The following is a 21,434-nucleotide window of genomic DNA, read 5'->3' as shown; positions in this document are numbered from 1 at the left end:
AAAACAACAACAACAACAAAAAGGAACCCTCCCTGTCGACAAAAAGAGTCAAACTCTGTAAAATATTTGAAGAGATTTATTCTGAGCCAAATTTGAGTGACCATGGCCCATGACACAGCCCTCAGGAGGTCCTGAGAACAGGTACCCAATGTGGTCGGTGTGCAGCTTGATTTTATATATTTTACAGAGGCATGATACATCAATCAAATACATTTAAGATATACATCTGTTTAATTCAGAAAGGCAGGGCAACTCAAAGTGGGGGCTTCCAGGCTATAGGTAAATTTAAATATTTTCTGGTTGACAATTGGTTGAGTTTATCTGAAGACCTGGGATTAATGGAAAGGAATCTTCAGGTTAAGATAAAGGATTGTGGGGACCAAGTTTTACTGTGCAGAGGAATCTCTTGGATAACAGACTTCAGAGAGAGAGCAGATTGTAAAATGTTTCTTTTTTTTTTTTTTGAAACGGAGTCTTGCTCTGTCACCCAGGCTGGAGTGCAGTGGCATGATCTCGGCTCACAGCAATCTCTGCCTCCCAGGTTCAAGCAATTCTCGTGCCTCAGCCTCCGGAGTAGCTGGGATTACTGACGTGTGCCACCACACCTGGCTAATTTTTGTATTTTTAGTAGAAATGGGGTTTCACCGTGTTGGCCAGGCTGGTCTTAAACTCCTGACCTCAGGTGATCCGCCCACTTCCGCCTCCCAAAGTGCTGGGATTACAGGCGTGAGCCACTGCAGCTGGTCTAAAATGTTTCTTATCAGACCTAAAAGGGTGCCTGGCTCTTAGTTGATTATCTCCTGGATCTGGAAAGAAAGGAAGGAAAACAAAGGGGGAAATGGATTCTCTATAGAATGTGGATTTTTCCCACAAGAGACTTTGCAGGGTAATTTCGAGGTATGGCAAGGAAATACATTTTGGGGTTAAATATTTTTTTCCTTGTCTCATAATGTTATGCCAGTCAGATTGAAAAGTAAGTCACAATATATAGGGTCAAATAGAACCCATCCGATGAGGATTATGATTTGTAGGGCATGACTCCTTAGACCCCTTAGGTAGGAATTTGAGCAAGATAGAAAAATAGAGCTTAGTCCTCATCTCAAATCTCATAGGACTTTACTTTTTATTTTTTATTTTTATTTTAATTTTTGAGATGGACTTTCGCTCTTGTTGCCCAGGCTGGACTACAGTGGCACCATCTTGGCTCACTGCAACCTCTGCCTGCTGGGTTCAAGCGATTCTCCTGCCTCAGCCTCCCGAGTAGCTGACAGGCACCCGCCATCACGCCTGGCTAACTTTTTGTATTTTTAGTAGAGATGGGGTTTCAGCATGTTGGCCAGGCTGGTCTCGAACTCCTGACCTCAGGTGATCCACCCGCCTTGGCCTTCCAAAGTGCTGGGATTACAGGAGTGAGCCACCTCACGTAACCCAGCACTTTACTTTAAAATCATCTGCCATTGAACTCTGAGTTCCTGAAGGACAGGACTGTAATTTATTCCTTGTTTTATTCTAGTTTAGCACAGTGCCTAGCCTGGCACGCAATGTTGATCATCAGCATGGTAGACAGAACAGTGGTCCTCCCCAAACGTCCCCATCCGAATCCTCAGAACCTCTGCGTGGATGTCCACTTCCTAACCTGTGAGACCTGCTTCTTTATATGGAAAAAGGGACTTGGCAGGTGTGCTTAAGTGAAGGATTTGTGTTTTTTTTTTTTTTGAGACTGAGTCTTGCTCTGTCGCCCAGGCTGGAGTGCAGTGGCATGATTTTGGCTCACTGCGAGCTCCGCCTCCCGGGTTCACGCCATTCTCCTGCCTCAGCCTCCCGAGTAGCTGGGACTACAGGCGCCCGCCACCACGCCTGGCTAATTTTTTTGTATTTTTAGTAGAGATGGGGTTTCACCGTGTTGGCCAGGATGGTCTCGATCTCCTGACCTCGTGATCCACCCGCCTCAGCCTCCCAAAGTGCTGGGATTACAGGTGTGAGCCACCGCGCCCGGCCTAAGTGAAGGATTTGAGGTGAAGAGATTCTCCTGGATCTTCTGAGCAGGCCCAGTGTAGTAATCACAGGGGCCCTTCTAAGAGGTAGGCAGGAGAATCAAAGTAAAGAGACAGAGACGCCATGATGGAAGCAGAGATTGGAGTGACGCAGCCACAAACCAAGGAGCGCCATCTAACTCCAGAAACAGGAAAAGCAAGGCGATCAATTCTCACCTGAAGCTTCCAGAAGGAACTATCCCCGCAGACACCTTGATTTTTGCCTCATAAGACTCATTTCAGACTTCTGATCTCCAGAACTAGCAGAATAAGTTTGTGTTATTTTAAGCCACTACATTTCCGTTATTTGCTACAGCATCCATGGAAAGTGAATATACTCAGTAAGCATGTGTTTGTTTAAGTGAAGGAGGCCCTGTGTGGGAGGGATGTCAGCTGGCTTGGAATGTTTGAGAGACAGTGTTCTCCAGAGCAGTCAGTGCTCACCAGTGACAGCGAGAGGGTCAGAGAGCCCTTAGGCAGTGACAGAAAGAACGAAAATGAGGAGATGGATTTGGGAGTCATTTCAGAAGCAGAATCTGCGAGACTTGGCTTAGTGAGCACGATAGGAGTCCAAGAAATGACAGCAACTTCTGGCTTGGGGGCATAGGTACATAGGGTGCCCATCAAAGTGAGGGAACAAAAAAGGCAGAGTCGGTTTGGTTAAGAAAAGTCATGGGTTGGGGCCAGGCTCAGTGGCTCATGCCTATAATCCTAGCACTTTGGGAGGCGGAGGTGGGTGGATCACCTGAGGTCAGGAGTTCGAGACCAGCCTGGCCAACATGCTGAAACCCCATCTCTACTTAAAAAAAAAAAAAAAGTCAGCCAGGCATGGTGGCGGGCACCTGTAATCCTAGCTACTTGGGAGGCTGAGGCAGGAGAATCACGAACCCAGGAGGCAGAGGTTGCAATGAGCTGAGACGGAGCCATTGCACTCCAGCCTGAGCAACATGAGTGAAACTGCCTCAAAAAAAAGAAAAAAAAAAAAAGCCATGGGTTAGGTTTGGACTTAGGCACGTGGGGTGGCCTGGAACCTCCGGAGAACAAAGTTTCTGCAGAAAGCAAGGCAACACACCGGGTCTGATACCTGAATGAGAGATTGGCAGGGGCTTATGATGGTCACAGGTAACCGATGTCCTGGAGATGAATGGGATTTCCTAGAAATTGTGATGTGAGATGAGACCTGGCAGAAAACACCAAAGTTTAAAGGGCAGGTGGTAGAAGCACAAACATTGGACAACGGAAATATTCGGGGGAAAATTTGGAGAATTTTTTGAAGGAAGCAGAGGTCAAAAGTACAAGGCTGGGCACGGTGGCTCACACCTATAATCCCAGCACTTTGGGAGGCCGAGGTGGATCACTTGAGGTCAGGAGTTCCAGACCAGCCTGGCTAACATAGTGAAACCCCGTCTCTACAAAAAGTACAAAAACTAGCCGGGTGTGGTGGTGCGTGCCTGTAGTCACAGCTACTTGGGAGGCTGAGGCAGAATTGCTTGAGCCCAGGAGGCGGAGATTGCAATGAGCCGAGATTGCGCCATTGCACTCCAGCCTGGGCGACAGAACAAGACTCTGTCTCTAATAATAATAATAATAATAATAATAATAATAATAATAATGTAGCAGTAAGGTAGGGCTAGCTGTGTATGAAAGTCATATCCCCTAAATGACGAAAATTTCCAAAAAGTCCAGGCTTTCACATTTAGGCAAAAATTCTTGTCAGAAGCAAAGCCAAAAGAATAGAAAGTATCGCTGCTTGTAATGGCAATGACCTTAATTAACTTTCTCCAATGTGCAGGATCAATGCCTTGTGTGGGGATTAATTTATGGCCTCAGTGGTTGCAATTGAGTGAGACTGAGAAATGAAGGCTTGGGGAAGCCAGGGGCAGCTGCATCCCAGCCTGAATACCAATCATTGGTTTAATAGATATGTTCCACATCATAGGTTTATTAATACCTTGTCTCCACTTCTAATCATTTCTGAAAGTGGGCAGGGTATAAATTAGAAATGGATTTGTAAATAAAATATTTGGTCAAAATGGAACAAGTCACACTGGCAGGGGAAATATTGCGATAGGCTGTGATTAAAATCCGTCTTTACCGGCACAGCCAGAAAAAAAAAATAGAGGTACACAGAGATCCTTGAAATTTTCAGTTTAAGGAGGAACTAAGCACCAAGCCACTGGAGCAGGTCCTACCGTGTGCTGGCCAGAGAGAGAGGGAGCCATCTCTTGGTTCTCCCAGGAACCTGGGCAGAGGCCAAGTGAGGATTGGTAAGGGCCCTCATCAGACAGGTGGGAAAACAGCAGCCTTGGTTCTAATTTAGGTTGGTGCAAACATAATTGCAGTTTTTGCCATTACTTTTTTTTTTTTTTTTTGAGATGGAGTCTTGCTCCATCACCCAGGCTGGAGTGCAGTGGCAGGATCTTGGCCCACTGCAACCTCCGCCTCACAGGTTCCAGCGAGTCTCCTGCCTCAGCCTCTGAAGTAGTTGGGATTACAGGTGCCCACCACCTCGCCTGGCTGTTTTTTTTTTTTTTTTTGTATTTTTAGTAGAGACAGGATTTCACCATGTTGGCCAGGCTGGTCTTGAACTCCAGACCGCAAGTGATCCACCCGCCTCTGCCTCCCAAAGTGCTGGGATTACAGGCATGAGCCACCACATCTGCCCAGTTTTTGCCATTCCTCTCAATGGCAAAAACTGCAATTACGTTTGCACCTACTTAATAGTTTTGATATGGTGTTAATTGTGGAGATTTTGCATTAATTTTAATTTTTTAAAAATGTCCCAGTCAGTGCATCCAAAACAACCAAAAGCAGGGCCTGAAGCAGAGCATGAACCCGTGTTGATAGCAGCAGTAAATCACAAGAGCCAAGAGTTGGAAACAACCCAGCGTCCATCAGTGGATGAGTGGATAAACAAAATATGGGAATACGTAGAGTGGGATATTGCTGAGCCTGAAAAAGGAAGGGAGTTCTGATACCTGGTACCGTGCAAATGAACCTTAAAGGCATTAGCAGTCGAGGGAAATGAGCCCGTCACAAAAGGACCAATACTCCATGATTCCGCTGATCCCGAGGTACCTAGAGGAGTCAAACTCCCAGAGACAGAAAGTGGAAGAGTGGCTGTGGGAAGGAGAGGACGCAGAGTTAGTGCTTGTGAGTTTCAGTTTGGGATGACGAAGAGTTCTGGAGATGCACGGTGTTCAGAGTTGCACAACAATGCGAGTGTATTTAACGTGATTGAACTCTACACGAAAATGTGATTAAGATGGTAATTTTACGTTATGTGTATTTTACCACAGTTCTTAAAAAATCACACTTAAGTCTGGATCTTGATGAACTAGTTGCTGGTCCTGCCTCTGCTGCCTTCTTTGCCTCACGGAAGATGATGGATGTAAAAACGCTGAGAAAGCCTGGGCAACATGGCGAAACCCTGTCTCTAAAAAAAAATTGCAGAAATTAGCCGGGTGTGGTGGCACGTGCCTGTGGTCCCAGCCACTCGGGAGGCTGAGACAGGAGGATCGCTTGAGCCCAGGAGGTCAAGGCTGCAGTGAGCTGAAGTCGCACCACTGCACTCCAGCCTGGGCAGCAAGTAAGACTCTGTCTCAATAATAATAATAATAAAATTAATAAAAAAACAAAAAACGCTGAGAAATTGCAAGTGTGACAGGACATCAAGGTGTGCTGTGGGTCAAAGTCACATAGTTCCAGGAGGCGAGGTGGTCGGATCACCCGAGGTCAGGAGTTCGAGACCAGCCTGGCCAACATGGCGAAACCCCGTCTCTACTAAAAGTACAAAAATTAGCCAGGTGTGGTGGTGGGCGCCTGTAGTCCCAGCTACTCAGGAGGCTGAGGCAGAAGAATCGCTTGAATCTGGGAGGCGGAGGTTGCAGTGAGCTGAGATCATGCCACTGCACTCCAGCCTGGGCAACAGAGCAAGACTCTGTCTCAAAAAAAAAAAACAAAAAAACACACAGTTCCCACAGCAAGGAATGAGAAGCCAGTAGCTTCTGAGGCCAACCAAGGCTTCAGGGCAGATGGCACTGTTTGTTCTGTGGTTGGGCTCTGGGTGGCCTTCAGAGCAGGGCCTGCATGGACCCTGAAGTGAGGCCTTCAGTCCCTGGCAAAGCCAACCATTTTCCCCTGTGGACATCCTTCTGGCAAGCAGCATTTGGCGGGTGGGGAGTAAGACGTTTTCCCTCATTGGTTTGGTCAACTTTATTTTGCTTTGCTGCGTTGCCTCTTTCTGGGGCAGATGCCAGGATGTGTGGCTCTCTGGCGGCCAGCCTCCAACCCTTTGGTTTGTATCGCAGTTCTGGCTGTGCTGAAGTATATCTTGGAAGAGTTAAAAGCCTGGGAAGCCGAATGTATTCTGTTTGGTGGATATTCCATTCAGATGTGTTTTGGGGGGACCGACCCATAGGCATCCATGGGGAAGTAGAAAATGCATGCCAAGGCCCCGGGCATGGTGGCTCACGCCTGTAATCCCAGCACTCTGGGAGGCTGAGGCAGGTGGATCACCTGAGGTCAGGAGTTCGAGACCATCCTGGCCAACATGGTGAAACCCCGTCTCTACCAAAAATAAATTAGCTGGGTGTGGTGGCCGGCACTTGTAATCCCAGCTACTCGGGAGGCTAAGGCAGGAGCATTGCTTGAACCCGGGAGGCGGAGGTTGCAGTGAGCTGAGATCACACCACTGCACTCCAGCCTGGGTGACAGAGCAAGACACCATCTAAAGAAAAAAAAAAAAAAAGAAAAAAGAAAAGAAAAGAAAAAATGCATGCCAGTCTGATTCTGCTAAAAGTAAAAATAGTAATAAAAGAATAATATTGGAGCCAGGCATGGTGGCTCACACCTGTAATCCCAGCTACTCCAGAGACTGAGGCAGGAGGACATCTGGAGCCCAGAAGTTTGAGGCCAGCCTGGGCAGCATAGCAAGACTCCGATCTGTTAAAAAAAAAAAAAAAAAAAGGCTGGGTGTGGTGGCTCATGCCCGTAATCCCAGCAATTTGGGAGGCCAAGGCTAGCGGATCGCTTGAGCCCAGGAGTTAGAGACCAGCCTGGGCAACATATCAAAACCCTGTCTCAACAAAAAACAAAAAAAAATTAGCTGGGTGTGGTCTGCGCACGCTTGCAGTCCCTACTACTTGGGAGGCTGAGGTAGGAGGATCACTTGAGCCCAGGAACTCGAGGCTATAGTGAGCTGTGATTGTGCCACTGTACTCCAGCCTGGGCACTGTACTCCAACGTGAGACCCTGTCTCAAAAAAGAAAAAAAGAAAAACACCAATAATATCAACCTCCAAAATGGTTATCAATGGGATGAAGTTATCGCTCTTCCTTCTTACTCATAAATCATGGCCCCAGCTCCCTGGCTGGCCAGGACAGTCATCTTCTGATTCTCCTTTACCTGGAGCAAGTTTGTTTCCTGGCTGGATCTTTGCGTCTTTGAGTGAGTCTCCTCTGACACCCCTCCTAGCCCAGCCCACACCCCCGAGATACCGCAGGCGAACTGAAATAATGAACTTCCCCTCAGCTTTTAGATGGGACCAGTAAGAGGTTGATATGGGGGCTGATGGTTGTAGTTTTCCTCCAGAACAGGCGTAATCACACATTTTTCATACAGGGTCAGATAGTAAATATTTTCAGCATTGCGGGATGGAAGATCTCTGTTGAAACTACTCAATGGTGACGAAAGCAGCCATAGAATGGGCGTGGCTTGGTGTTAATCTAACTTTATTTACAGACATTGAGATGTGAATTTCTTATCATTTTCATGTGTCATGAGATATTCTTCTTCTTTTTATCTGTAAATTATTTTATTTTTATTTTTTATAGAGATGGAGTCTTGCTGTGTTGCCCAGGGTGGTCTCAAACTCCTGGCCTCAAACAATCTTCTTGCCTCAGCCTTCCAAATTACTGAAATTACAGGTGTGAGCCGTGATGCCCAGTTCCTTGATTGTTTTGGGGGTTTTTTTGTTTTGTTTTGTTTTTTGAGATGGAGTCTCACTCTGTCGCCCAGGCTGGAGTGCAATGGCGTGATCTCGGCTCATTGCAACCTCTGCCTCCCGGGTTCAAGCAGTTCTCCTGCCTCAGCCTGCCGAGTAGCTGGGATTACAGGCACATGCCACCATGCCCGGCTAATTTTTTGTGTTTTTAATAGAGATGGGGTTTCATCATCTTGCCCAGGCTAGTCTTGAACTCCTGACCTTGTGATCCACCTATGTTGGCCTCCCAAAGTGTTGGGATTACAGGCGTGAGCCACCACGCTTGGCCTTTTTTAAAAAAAAAAAATTTTATTTATTTTTTTAACAATTTAAAACTGTAAAAACTACCTTTTGCTTGTGGGCCATACAGCAAGAGGGGGCAGGCCAGGTGTGGCCTATGGGCCATAGTTTGCCAAACCCTGCCCTAGAAGCGTGAACTCCAGTGGGTTCTCCGGGGTGCAAGGCAAGGATCCCATCTGCCGATCATGTCTGAACTCCACTTTGGAAGCCTGGGCAAGTACTGCGGGGTTTTGGAAGGCAGAAGAGTGCAAATCATGGCTCTCCATGTGGCCCTAAGTGTCTAACTGCTAAGCCCTGCTTCCTGATGTTCTTCACAAGAAAAATCCAACATCAGAAATCAGACACTGGCTGGCTGCTTTAGCGCTGTGTTGGCACCAGGTGCGTTGCATGCCAGGCTCTAGAAATAACCCCTCCTATTTTTAACACCCTTGCTTCATCAGAGGGTTTCTAGTTTCTCCCGAAAACAATCTCAGGGCCTAGAGATACGAGTTGGAATTCAGAGCCTCTAAGCCACGTGCGTTGCCCTCTTGTCCCCACAAAAGACCTCAACATACCCGGGTGACCGGCCTTTCCTTCTCATTCGGCGTCAGGGGAGCCCCTGATGTGACTGGGAATCCGAGCGATTTCTATGCAAGGCTCCAGGAAAGCATGAGTTTTCTGAGAGCTTTTTATTTCAAGCCACAGTCAGATTCTACCCAGTTAAAAATGCTTCCCAGGGCTCCTGGAAGCCAAGGAGGGGACGCTGGGCTCACCAGAGAGGGTGTGTTTTATCACCGAGAAAGAGACAGGCTGGCTATTTACACGGAACACCCAGCTGGCAAACACAGGTTGTCCCTGCAATGTTCATAAAGGACAACTGGAGGCAGCTTATCAGAGGCTGGTACAGTGGGGACACCTCTGAGCTCCAGGGGAAGTTGGGCCCCTGCAAACACCTGTCCACCTGCTGGCTCTGCCTCCCCCAACTGTGGCCAGGTTAGGACTCACGTCTTGCTCTATTCCCAGGGGAGCCTGCGGCAGCCCAGAGGAACTCAGAGAGAGGAAGCAGCCTGCGACTGTTGCAGGGGGGCAGATGGGAGCAGGGTGGGGCTAAAATTGCTCCCGCCTCCTCTCTGGAAGGTTCCAGGCCAAGACCCCGCTTCCTGGGGAAGAAGCCTGAGGGTCGCTAGGGCCGCAGGAGGGTTAGTGCTCGGGCTCAGCATCCATGCAGGACTCCCATGGGTTCCGGGGCATTCGAGGCAGGGAGAACAGCAGGAGGGCGAGACCGCCGAGAAAGAGGAGGATGAAGGCGGCACAGGCGCAGGCAAAGGACCAGGAGTAATAGTACTCGATCCAGACGGTGTCCTCACTGTCAATCATGCGCTTCACCGACTGCCGCATGACCTCCACCGAGACGAGGATGCAGAGACCTGGGGGCAGAGCCAGGCATGCTCAGGGACCGAGGGGCGTCTGCCGTAGCCACCAGCCCCATCCCAGCCTGTGTGCATGGAGGAGGCGGTGACCTTGCCTTGGGGGAAAAGCTGCCTCAAGGCAGGTTCTAGATGGGAACCTGCAGAAGGATCCATTTGTCCACCCACCACCCTATTCCTGCATCCCTCAGAAGGGCAACCATGTGGCCAGGTGTGGTGGCTCACACCTGTAATCCCAGCACTTTGGGAGGCTGAGGCAGGAGGATCGCTTGAGGCCAGGAGTTTGAGACCAGCCTGGCAACATAGTGATGAGCCCTCCGTCTCTACAAAAAATTAAAATACAATGAAAAATTAGCCAGGTGTGGTGGTGCACGTCTGTAGTCCCAGCTACTAGGAGGCTGGGGCGGGAGGAACCCTTGAACCCAGGAGTTCGAGGCTGCAGTGAGCTGTGATTGTGCCACTGCACTCCAGCCTGGATGACAGAGCGAGACCCTCTTCCTCATCCCCCAAGAAAAAGAAAGAAAGGTGACCACGTTTCTTTCCTTCTTTTGTTAATCATTCTCTGGGCAGTTTCTTTGGGGCCTTGAGGGTTGAGTCGTGGAGAGGAATGGACAAACCGCCAAGCTCTGTCTCCCTCCAACCCACCTGGAGTCGCTGATGGCCTGGCCAGGTTTGCCCCTGGATGGGGATGGAGCCTGGGAAATGCCCCTCACCCAAATCTCGCGGTGGGCATGAGGGTGGAGCGGAGAATCCCCCGCGACATGGTCCCCCGGCCCCGGCGCTCAGGCAGATCCCCCAGTCTACCTGCAAAGGCATAGAACATGGACGCGGGTCGCAGCAGATAGTCCCTCTTCTTCCCGAGGGACAGGAGGACACAGAGGCTGCCCAGGATGATGAAGCCAAGGCTGAAGATGGCGATGGCGGCTGCCGAGATGCTGTACTCTGCAAACACAAGGGACACCCAGCATGCGGCCTCAGCATGGGAGCTCTTGTCATGGCTCGTTAGGGACCACACCATGCACCACAGTGTGTGTGTCAGTGTCTGTGTGTGTCATTGTGTGTGTGTCAAGTGTGTGTCTCTGTGTCTGTCTTGTGTGTGTCATTGTATGTGTGTATCTGTGTGTGTGTCAGTGTCTGTGTGTGTCATTGTGTGTCATGCATATGTGTCAGTGTGTGTCTCTGTGTCTGTCATTGTACGTGTGTGTCAGTGTGTGTCTCTGTGTCTGTGTCATTGTACGTGTGTGTCAGTGTGTGTCTGTGTGTGTCACTGTGTGTCATTTTGTGTGTCATCATGCATGTGTATCAGTGTGTGTCTGTGTCACTGTGTGTCATTTTGTGTGTCATCATGCGTGTGTGTCAGTGTCTCTGTGCGTCTGTGTCTTGTGTGTGTCGTGTGTGTGTATCTGTGTTGTGTGTGTCTGTGTGTGTCAGTGTGTGTCTGTGTGTCTGCCCACTCACCCTGTGTGCAGCTGTCTGGGCGCAGGCAGGCACGGGTCTGTACTCCCGACAATGGGTGTGCGTCTGAGCTCTGCGGATCCTGAAAAGCTCCCAGAGCCCACCGCACCCTCCTGGTACTCAGGGAGGGATTTCTAGGCCAGGGAGGGACTCAGACTGTCCCTGCAGACTCTAACTATCACATGCCACCAAGAGCCACCACGGGGCTTCTGAGCATTTGTTCCACATCCACACCTCCCGTCACAACAGCTGCCCTTGTGTAGGGGCCTACCAGGAGGTGCTGCTTCTGCAAACGCTCCCTGGCCCCGAGGTGTGGAAGCTCCGGGCCCTGGAGATGGAAGGCGGCTGCCTGGGGCCTCCGGAGCGGGGAGCTGACAAGGCTGTTGTTCAAATGCACCACAGGCTTCTTCTCATCAGGCGTGAGGAAGTCAGTGCTTTTGCCAATGACTTTCTGGCCCAGTGGTGCACAACACAGAAGTCCCCTCTTGTCACCCCAGACCCCTTTCCACCCAGGCTCACCCTTCTGAGTGGTGAATTCGAAGATCTCCGAGCTCTCGCCGGGGTTAAAATGCCTGAAGTAGGAACAGTTCTTCTCTGCAAAGGAGGAGACAGACTGTGAGTTGAGGGGAGCAACCCGTAGCAAGGACAGAGGCCTGGCAGAGAGCGTGGTGTCATTCTGCTCGGCATGCAGGGGGCTCTGGCAGCCTCTCTTCTCCCCAGATCCTTAATCTGGGCTGAAACATCTGTCTTTGACCCTTAGAACAACATCTCAGTGGGATAATGAGGTTGCCTGCAGGGCTGGGAGGTCTTCAGGGAGCTGAGGCTGGATGAGTCTGCAGGGCAGACGGCCTGTGGGTTCTGCACCCCATTAGGCAGACAGGGTAACCGAGGCCCAGGCTCAAGCCATTTTTCAGGGTGTGCAGGGTGCACAATCAACAAAGAACCAAACAGCAGTCTCTGTTGGGGCCGATTCTGCCCCCCCAGGGGACACTTGGCGATGCCTGGGGTTATGGTGGTGGTGAGAGGGGTACACCTGGCACCCAGCCGGTAGAGGCCACAGACGTTGCTGAACATCCCAAGACACACAGGACAGGTCCTCCCAACATGGAATGATCCAGGCCAAAATATCAAGAGTGTCAAGGTTGAGAAACCCTGGATCAACCCCAAACCTGGGACTGTGTTTCTCATCAGAATCCAGGCACACCCTGGTTCATTGGTGGGACCTGGGAAACAGTGTTTTTCAAAAGCTTTCTGGGAGAGCCTGATGTGCAGCCAGGATGGGAACCCTGCTCCAGGCCCCTTAAAATGCCCTGCAAAGGGCTTTTTCCGAGTGGCCATTGGGATGGCCTGGATGCAGATGGAACCCCTACGAGGGCTGAATGTGACCATCATGTGGTTTCACTGGGTCCCTGGTCTTTGCGAGACAGCCCAGATGAGACCTGCCCCCACAAAGCCGCTTGGCCCACCTGATAATTGTCATAAAAGCTATGGAAAGTCTGTGGGCAGTAGGAACGCAAATCTGAATTTGATGAGGGAGAGGGGAGGGGCTCAGCACAAGGAAATTCATGCTGATTTAAAATATAATTTCATTTCCATTTTTCTCTTTCAGTCTCTCTCTCATAGCTAGGTATACTATAAAATCAAAGCACAGGCCGGGCGTGGTGGCTCACACCTGTAATCCCAGCACTTTAGAAGGCTGAGGCAGGAGAATTGCTTCAACCCAGGAGGCAGAGGTTGCAGTGAGCTGAGGTCGTGTCACTGCACTCCAGCCTGGGTGACAGAGTGGGACTCTGTCTCAAAAAAAAAAAAAGCACAGTCTTATTTCTTGCTAAATACGGTTTATCTTCTTTGCTCTTGATTTAGGAAGTGGATGAATGGGTTATTTTATATTATGTTTCCTTCCAAAACTAAATTAGTTTGCTTTTTATTTGTGGAGGCCCTTCATTGATTTCTTTTCCTGTGGATCAGTGACCCTTAAATAGAAAAACATCTCTTTCTCTAGTTGAGATGGTGTCTAGTTTGCCAATTCATTTCTTCACTTCCAGGCTTCATTTAGATGCTCATAAGGCGGTTGATGCCTAGTTCTTTCTGGAAATGTACCTGCAGTGATACCAAGGCTTTTCTTTGGGATGAAGACTTTCTTTAACCGGACCTAAATCATTCTTCTTGCACCTTAAGCCTGTGGTCTCATACCATGCCCCTCCTTCCCCCCAGAGCCAGGGCTGCTGCCTCTCCTGAGGTTGAGGAAGCAAATGACCCCTGGAGATGGGATCTGGTTTAGCAGCAGTACCCATTCCTGGCATAAACAGCCTTCTCTGTGTGCTTCTATATTTAAATCACTTTCCTTTTGAACCGCGTTACCTGGGGTGTCTGACTGCTGGTGGTGATGTCAGAATTGGTGCTCTGCTATTCTCTCTGGGCATCCGGTGCTATTTTAAAGCATAATGCAGATCTCTTCTATTTGTTAGATTATTGGCTGTAGATCTCTCGAATCACTGCTTCAAAATGGCCCATGCTATGTCATAAGTCTCCATGTGTCTCCCTCTGGACAAAGAAACATTTCTGTTTCTGTTTCATTCTTGAAGGGCCAATTTCAGTTGTCAGAATTGACTGAATTCAAGTGTATTTCATGGTCAGCTGCCTCCCTGACTGCTCAAAAGCCATAAGTTAAAATCCTTCCCAGCGGAGGGCCCTGAGATGAGGGCCATGGAGTGCCTTGCTGGGGGCACAGCTGTTTGCACCTGGTGGGTTGCTGAGGTGACTCTCACACAGGTAGCATTTGGCTCACCAAATCCCCACCAGATAAACGCCAGGCTCCGCCTGGCTGCTGGCTGCTTGGATAGAAATGATCTTAACTCAGACACAGGGGTAGGCTACGTGTCTGCAGGAGCCAGGTTGTGAGCTTCTGGGGGGATGCTTTTCTTTTGGTGGTCCAGGTACAGTGTTCCTCCTCCCTCTTCTCCATTAAGTGTCCTCAAATGGAGGGAGGGGGCCTCCAGTGGGTAGGATTCCTTCTCAGGGTAACAGGAAGCCTCAGCTTCACTCTTACATGGCTGAACTGGGGGCCTGAGGACTGATGGGCTGACCTCTCCCCTTTCTTGGGCTTAGCATGTGAAAAAGACCGGTGTCTCCTGCCCTGAACCTGAGAGAAACATCCACTCCTGGGCTATGTGGCTGCCCATTGGAGACCATAAACCCTTTCATGGTCTCTAATGGCCCCTGTAGGGGTGGGGGCACGTCAGACCCAGGCCTCATTTAGGACAAATCAGGCCAGGCATCTGCCCATGTTACTCAAGAGGGTGCAGGGTCCTGTTCAGATGGACAGACCCTACTATGAGCCCCTTCCCTCCCTGCCCTGTTCCTGGGTCTAGGTGGATATTATTTGGGAAACTGAGCATCCAGGGCAACGTAAAGAGGAAGGACATCCGAGGTGGACCCATCTTAGTCATGGGTCAAGAGGAGAGGGACCGTGACGGTCCTGTGCAGACTCTCAGTCTTCCTGCCTCTGCCTCTGGGATGCCCCTCTCTGCCCCGCTGCCCTGGCTTCCATCACACTTACACAAAGCTCAGGGATTGCAGCTTTGCTTCCGACTAAGTCAGCAAAGATTCCAATGCCAGGATGATGATCTGGGGTGTTAGGAACTCTGAGGTCGTGCCATTCTCCTTTGTCTCTGCAGATGGCTTATGCTGATTTTAATCTCCTTATTTCTGTAAGACTCAGCGGTTTAAAAATATTAAATGGGTTATTTATTAAAAATATGGTGAACTCAGCTCTCAGACTTGACTGGGGGATGGAATAGTCTGGCTAACCCAGTGTTCTGGTTAAGGGCATCAGTAACTGTGCAGAACCATGTGTAGTGTGCCAGTTTCAAAGAATTAGAGCAGAAGCCACATTTAGCTCCAAGCTGAACTTGAGTTAATAGGGATCTTTCTTTGATAGTTGGAACAGCTGGCAGGATTAGTGGATGCCTTGGGTTATCACTGAGAATGTATCAGTGTGCCAAGTGACTGTCCATGGAGACTTTCATATATTCAAAGATACTTTGTGGATTTGTCCAAAACCAAAGAAACTGGTACTTTAGGGGTGCAAGGAAGCCTCTAACTTGCATTGATGTCAGTGTTGTTTTTAGCCTTTTGGTAAAAGAAGTTCTATCAGCTCCCAACAGTGGTTTCTCTGGGCTGTGTCTCCTTCCACATCTCTGATTGAAGAATTTTATAAAATGGGCTGGAAATCTCCAAGACCTGACCCTAGAGCTTCAGAGCACTGCTCTTCCATGGGAGAAGCCTGGCTTTGGCCTAGGCCTCTGGCATGGACTTCTGTGGGTGGTGAAGTGAGCCCATGAAATTCCTGGGGTCAGTAGTATCATGCTCTTTTATACAATCCCAGTTCCCGCACTGAGAGAAGATGGACCAGTAGGGAAAATGGGGCACTAGGCAAAGTGGGCCCTGGGGCAACCTGCCTCCTTGCCCTAAAGAGGCAGAGTCTGAAAGAAGCAGCACTTCACCCAGCCCAAGGGCAGGGGATGGCCTCTTTGCGGGTTCATTTGGACTTTCAGAACACATAGTCTCTCCTTTGGGAGAGGCTCCTACTCTCATTCTGGAGGCATTGGAATTGGTCTTGGATGTTGATCTTGTACATGGAAGTCCTTCTAAGACTGTTTGGAGTCTAAGACTGTCTAATTTGGAAAAATTAGACAACTCTTGCCCACTGAGCCTCCAACATTTTAAGACTAAGTGGGACCTTGAGAAGTCTGCTCCACTGCACCAGCTTCTGGTCCAGCTGCCCTCAAACTATGCCATGTCAAAAGCTGGACTCCTTGTGTTCACTTGGGTCAGAGCTTTTAGGAGCTGTGTTTTCATGCACAATAGAGGGTGTGAGAAGGAACTGGAGGGAAAGGAGGCTCTGGATTCAAGACTTGAGTGGAGAACCTCTATTTGTTAGCTGGTTAGCCTGGGGAAGGCTATGCTCAGCCTCCCTGTTCCTACCTGTAGAATGAGACCCACCTGTAGAATGAGAACCACCTGTAGAATAGGAACCACCTGTAGAATGAGAACCACCTGTAGAATGAGACCCACCTGTAGAATAAGAACCACCTGTAGAATAAGAACCCACTCACTGGGTTGTTGTAAAGTAGTTAATGTATTGACTAAAACGGTGAATGTTAGGGTCTGAGTGTGAGTCCTGGCTGCTCTGCTCATCACCTGTGTTACCTTGTCAAATATCTCAACTCTCAGTGGTTGATTTTCTTTATCTGTAAGATTGGGATGATGATAATAGCATGGCCTTCACGGAGGTTTCTGTGAGGATTAGGTGAGCTAATATATGTATGTCATCCCACCACCTTCTGGCCTCCATAGATTTGGGGAAAAATTGGCTGTTCATCTTATTAAGGATTCCTCATATGTGGTGAGTTGTTTCTTTCCGTTTTTAAGATTCTCTGTCTCTATCTTTCAACAGTTTGATTATCATGTGTCTAGATGTGGATCCCTTAGAGTTTATTCTACCTGGAGTTCATTAAGCTTCATAAATTTGTCGATTTTTAACGTTTTTCATCCAATTTGGGAAGCTTTTGGACATTATTTTTCACATACCTTTTTTGCTCCTTTCTCTCTTTCCCTCTCCTTCTGGGACTCCCTTTACATAAACTTGATGGTGTCCCATAAGTCTCCGAGGCTCTCGTCATTTTTCTTTATTCTTTTTATCTGTCTGTTCCTCAGACTGGCTAATCTCAACTGACTTATCTTAAAGGTCACTGATTCTTTTGCCTGCTCAGATATGCCATTGAGCCCCTCTAGTGAATTTCTCATTTTAGTTATTGTACTTTTCAACTCCAGAATTTCTATTTTGTCCTTAAAAATAATTTCTGTGTCTTAATTGATAGTTTCTATTTCATGAGGCATCATTTTCATCTTTAATTGTTTTGATTGTTTTTTCTTTGGATATATTTACTATAGCTGATTTAAAGTTTTTGTCTAGTAAGTCCAATATCTGGCTTCCTTACAGATCTATTGACTTCTCCCTGCCCCATGTATGCCCCTTATCATTTTAGTTCTTTGTGTGTCTTGTATTATTTATGTATGTATTTATTTATTTAGAGACAGAGTCTTGCTCTGTCACCCAGGCTGGAGTGCAGTGGCATGATCATAGTTCACTGTAGTCTCTAACTCCTGGGATCAAACAATTCCCTCACCTAAGCCTTGGGAGTAGCTAGAATTACAGGCACATGCCACCACTCCTGGATATTTTGTGGGGTTTTTTTTTTGTTTTTTTTTTTTTTTTTGGTAGGGACAGGGTCTTGCTATATTGCCCAGGTTGATCTCAAACCCCTGGCCTCAAGCAGTCCTCTCACTTGGCCTCCAAAAGTGCTGGGAATACAGGAGTGAGCCACCACACCCAGCCAGTATTTTTTAAACAATATAATGTGGCAACTCTGGAAATCAGTTGTTCCCCCTTCTTGAAGATTTGTTCCCGTTGTTTGTTTAGTGACTTTTTTGAACTAAGATGGTAAAGTATGTGTTTTTTGTCATGTGTGATCACTGAGATCCCTGTTCAATTAGCTTAGTGACCAATTATAAATTTCCTAAAACGCTTGGCAACAATGCCTCTCCCAGTCTTTACTGAGGGGCTCTGTGCATATGACTTTCATGCTCAGCTAAGCCACCCACATCTCTGCCTTAGCCTTCACTTCCTGCTTGAACAGAGTCTCAAGATAAGGCAGAGAGTGCTTAGGGCCTTCTCAGGTCTTTCCTGAGCATGCATATAGCATTGTGCATGCATGTGGCCTCCTAGATTCCCAGGAATATGTTGGAGCTTTTCAAAGCAACTTATGGACATTTCAGTCTCCAGTTTTTTGGTTAGCCTGTTGTTTTCCCTAACTGTTATCTACTGCCTCAGACAGCCATGATGTTAATCAATCATCTCTAATTATTTTCAACAAACATCCCCAGGGAGAAAGACTATTTGCACTGGATGAGCTCAGAGTCAGGTCAAACAGAAACAGCTTCTCAAGTGGGGGTTTTCAGGGAATCACCAGACAGGTCAAATAATGACAACTCTCTGGGAATGGGCCTTTGATCCAACCCCATTCTCTCCCCTCCAGAGGCTACTGGGATGCTGATTTTCACTGTGATTACGGAATGTTGGTTTGCAAGGTTACCACAGAGCTGGGAAAGGGAAACAGGAATAAGGCAAGTTAAAACACCACAGAACTCACTGGTCCTCCTGAGATTCACCCATTTTTCTTGCTGGATTGCTGCAAGACTTTGGTTAATTTCCAGAGTTCTGAAAATGTTGATTCTGACCATTTCTGCCAGCCTTCTCATTACTATTATGGAGAAGATTATTTTTGGAGGTTCTTTTTCTATCATTTTTTTTCCTGATGTCTTTCAAAGTTAATATATGTAAAGCGTTTACAACAATATTTGGCACACAGGGCTACATGTATGTGCCATTATTATTATTGTTGTTAATAATAGATGACGGGCCACATATGAACCCACTTCCTCCCTCCAGAGAAGAGTGGTCCCAGGGAGCACAAGAAGGGCAGATGGGGAAGGAGAAAGATGTCCATTTGCAGAGAAAAGAGAGGGAAAAAGGCAGGAACATATTTTGGAAGATTACTGGGGGAAAGGTAGTGCTCAGTGTCACAAGTGTGGGAGGTGTGGTTCATAGCTGGTTAGGCTAAGAAGGCAAAGAGGTAGATCCTGTCAGGCTCAAGGCCAAGCAATGCCTGTTGGCCCCCTGCAATTGGTCCAGTCACCTCTCACCAGCCTGTCTCTTCCTTGTGTGGATTCTGCTCACTGCCCAGTCTTCTGCTCTGACTTTAAAAGGCAGATGGTTCCAAGGACGGGTGAACAGGACTGTAACAGCACGTCCCCATGTGTGGTCCCTGAAGAAGCTGCCTTGCCCTGCCCTGCCCTGCCCTGCCCTGCCCAGGGGAGTTGGCTGGAGGCTGTTCCTGTTTATGGGTGTGCTCAGCAGTGGCCAAGGGGCATGGGCATCCGGGCTATGCGATACCCTGCAAGCACATGGCCACACCTGTCACTCTCAGCCCTGGGACTTGGTGTTTCTACAACAGCTGGGCACTTATGAGTCTTCTGGGCCTCCAGTGGGGCTGAACAAGGGAGGGGATCTCTGGAGCAAGCAGGAGGGAAGGAAGAGGGAGCAGAGACAAGGGAGGATGGGGTCTGTGCTCTTTGCCTCACAAGCAGACTGCAAGATCTTTGGGGACTTAGCCCTAGTGTCCTTGAAGGACAGGTTTCAAGGAACACCTAGTCTGATAAAAGAGGAAATAATCCTGAAAACCAGGTGGGACATCACACTGACATCACTCTGCTCCACTGCCACTGTGGATGGGCGTCTGTAAGCCGAGGAAGGGATCTCACGTTGCTGAGAGTCAGTCCCATATTTTATAGAGGAAGAAGCAGAGGCTGAGATGAGCTTTGTCCTCCCTGGATGGTCATTTGAGGGTAGTGGGCAATGGCGATTAGATCCCTGGCTGCCTGGTCTCCATGAGCACTCTTTCCTCTAAAGTGCTGTATTTGCTAAGAATCCAGAAGCCTCTGCATTTGCAGAATAGAGGCTAGTCACGCGACTACCAGGTACTCCTGAAAAGGACCTTACCTTCAACGTGTGGTTCGGTCACACGGTAGGAAATCGAGGAATACGCTTAAATTACAGGGTGAGGAAATGCTTTGTAACTCTGACAGGGTCTGAGCTAAGACAGGATGCATAGAGGACTGAAGTCCTGACAAAAGGACAGGTGGAGGTCGGGCATGGTGGCTCACGTCTGTAATCCCAGCACTCTGGGAGGCCAAGGCAGGTGGATCACCTGAGGTCAGGAGTTCGAGACCAGCCTGACCAACATGGTGAAACCCCGTCTCTACTGAAAGTACAAAAATTAGATGGGTGTGGTGGTGCATGCCTGTAATCCCAGCTACTGGGGAAGCTGAGGCAGGAGAATCGCTTGAGTCCAGGAGGCAGAAGTTGCAGGGAGCCAAGATCATGCCACTGCACTCCAGCCTGAGCGACAAAGTTGTCTCAAAAAAAAAAAAAAAAAAAAAAAGAAGGTGGGGGCAGGTGGCTCACCTACAGCCTACAGCCATGTCCTGCTTCACAGACATTCAACCTGTGCAGCTGCTCCAGGCCCAGAGCCCACAAGGGCCCATGTGTGGTTTCATGTGCTGCTGTCACTGCCTTGAAATCCTTGGTAATTTGGAGCAAGGAACCCTGCATTTTCATTCTGCACAGGACCCTGCAAATTCCATCGCCTATGCTCTCTCCTCTCCTGCCTTGAGGCCAGGAACAAACCTGCCAGCCCCATGGGTCCCCCTAGCCTGAGGACACAGAGCCACCTAGCTTTTCTTTGCAGGGAGAGAGTGAGCAGGTGGGGCCCAGAAGTCCCTGGGCTGGTAGAGCTGCAGTTCCTTTCTTGAGCCTGCCCAGCTCTCTGCTCTGGGCAAAAAGCCCCAAGGTCCAGCCAGACAGAAATAGCTGGGACAAACGCCCTCGTCTTACAACCCAGCCCCAGCCACCAGCACCACACATGCAATTCATATCTTCTTCCCTGGGCAGAAAAGGCTGGGCGGCTGCCCTATTTCTAGGCAGAGAAACCTGCCTTCCTTCGCAAGGGCAACTTTGCCAGGGGGATGACGGGGAAGAGCAGGAGGTGGGGATCGGGACGGAGGGTGGGTACGTTACCCCCGGGCAGGGTGATGGGCCCGCAGGTCTTGCTGTCGTCCATGGGGATGCGCTTGGTACAAATCCGCCAGAGGCCGAAGTGGGCCGCCTCGCAGGTAGTGTTGTGGTGCTCCATGTGGGGGCTCAGCACAGCCCAGTGGTCGGTTACCACGGCTGTCATGGCCAGCACGATGCCTGCCAGGATGCAGAAGAGGGTCACGCGGACCTTCAGCATTTTGGTCTGGGACATGGTGGTCGCCGAGGCGTGGGTGCCCTGGGCAGGGTCCGGCGGCTGCGTCTCCTAGGGCAGGTGACAAGCCGAGCTTGGGGGGTGGCAGTGGTTGTCGAGCTGGGAGTGGCCACTAAGTTTAGTGTGCCTGGCTGAGCCAGAGTGGGCTGGCCTTGGGGCCGAGGGACGCGGGACGTGCTGAGCAGCTGCCCAGACGCGTCAGGGGCCTGAGGGAGGCTGCTATTAATGCCCATCTCCAGGCGTGGCACCGAGGACAGCTTCTGCTCGGGTTTCAGGGTTTTCTGCCCCTCTGGGAGCCAGAAATACCCCAGTGCGGCGGGGCAGGGTG

At 49.2% G+C, this 21,434-nt stretch overlaps 1 protein-coding gene across 1 annotated transcript, besides 5 other annotated features; it reads right to left on the bottom strand.

Annotated features, from left to right (window-relative positions):
• Window positions 474–835: a silencer, noted in NCBI's record as "fragment chr17:65061048-65061409 (GRCh37/hg19 assembly coordinates)". NCBI's record gives its function as "represses an EF-1alpha promoter that drives an FKBP-Casp9 reporter gene in an ReSE screen in both phorbol 12-myristate 13-acetate-treated (for megakaryocytic differentiation) and untreated K562 erythroleukemia cells {active_cell/tissue: K562 | K562(+PMA)}" and the evidence as "EXISTENCE:reporter gene assay evidence [ECO:0000049][PMID:32094911]".
• CACNG1 (calcium voltage-gated channel auxiliary subunit gamma 1) lies at window positions 8,970–21,213 on the bottom strand. Its single transcript, NM_000727.4, has 4 exons — window positions 20,878–21,213; window positions 11,697–11,771; window positions 10,527–10,664; window positions 8,970–9,722 (listed from the first exon to the last, which is right to left on the bottom strand). The coding sequence occupies exons 1-4, from the start codon at window positions 21,104–21,106 to the stop codon at window positions 9,496–9,498; spliced, it is 669 nt and encodes a 222-aa protein (NP_000718.1). The 5' UTR covers window positions 21,107–21,213; the 3' UTR covers window positions 8,970–9,495.
• Window positions 11,716–12,560: an enhancer, noted in NCBI's record as "H3K4me1 hESC enhancer chr17:65049323-65050167 (GRCh37/hg19 assembly coordinates)". NCBI's record gives its function as "activates a minimal SCP1, AML or CMV promoter by ChIP-STARR-seq in primed H9 embryonic stem cells {active_cell/tissue: H9 hESC(primed)}" and the evidence as "EXISTENCE:reporter gene assay evidence [ECO:0000049][PMID:30033119]".
• Window positions 13,765–13,844: an enhancer, noted in NCBI's record as "active region_12620". NCBI's record gives its function as "activates an Ori minimal core promoter by ATAC-STARR-seq in GM12878 lymphoblastoid cells {active_cell/tissue: GM12878}" and the evidence as "EXISTENCE:reporter gene assay evidence [ECO:0000049][PMID:35858748]".
• Window positions 13,915–14,044: an enhancer, noted in NCBI's record as "active region_12619". NCBI's record gives its function as "activates an Ori minimal core promoter by ATAC-STARR-seq in GM12878 lymphoblastoid cells {active_cell/tissue: GM12878}" and the evidence as "EXISTENCE:reporter gene assay evidence [ECO:0000049][PMID:35858748]".
• Window positions 16,443–16,643: a silencer, noted in NCBI's record as "peak2948 fragment used in MPRA reporter construct". NCBI's record gives its function as "represses an SCP1 promoter by STARR-seq MPRAs in K562 erythroleukemia cells {active_cell/tissue: K562}" and the evidence as "EXISTENCE:reporter gene assay evidence [ECO:0000049][PMID:32103011]".
• Window positions 21,214–21,434: the final 221 nt, after the last annotated feature.

The sequence above is a fragment of the Homo sapiens genome, chromosome 17, assembly GCF_000001405.40.
Source record: "Homo sapiens chromosome 17, GRCh38.p14 Primary Assembly".
In the NCBI taxonomy this organism is placed as follows: domain Eukaryota; kingdom Metazoa; phylum Chordata; class Mammalia; order Primates; family Hominidae; genus Homo; species Homo sapiens.
Note: the sequence above shows the minus strand (reverse complement) of the source record. Positions and strands in the feature narration are given on the sequence as shown.

What these genes read in the sequence shown, in the direction of transcription:
- CACNG1 (NM_000727.4), bottom strand. Translation starts at nt 21,106, where the DNA reads ATGTCCCAGACCAAAATGCTGAAGGTCCGCGTGACCCTCTTCTGCATC. An exon ending in GCCCATCACCCTGCCCGGGG is followed by an intron (nt 11,772 to 20,877) that starts GTAACGTACCCA and finishes CCTCCTTTGCAG; the next exon opens with AGAAGAACTGTTCCTACTTC. An exon ending in CATGTTCTATGCCTTTGCAG is followed by an intron (nt 9,723 to 10,526) that starts GTAGACTGGGGG and finishes CTCTGCCCCCAG; the next exon opens with GTCTCTGCATCCTCGTCTCG.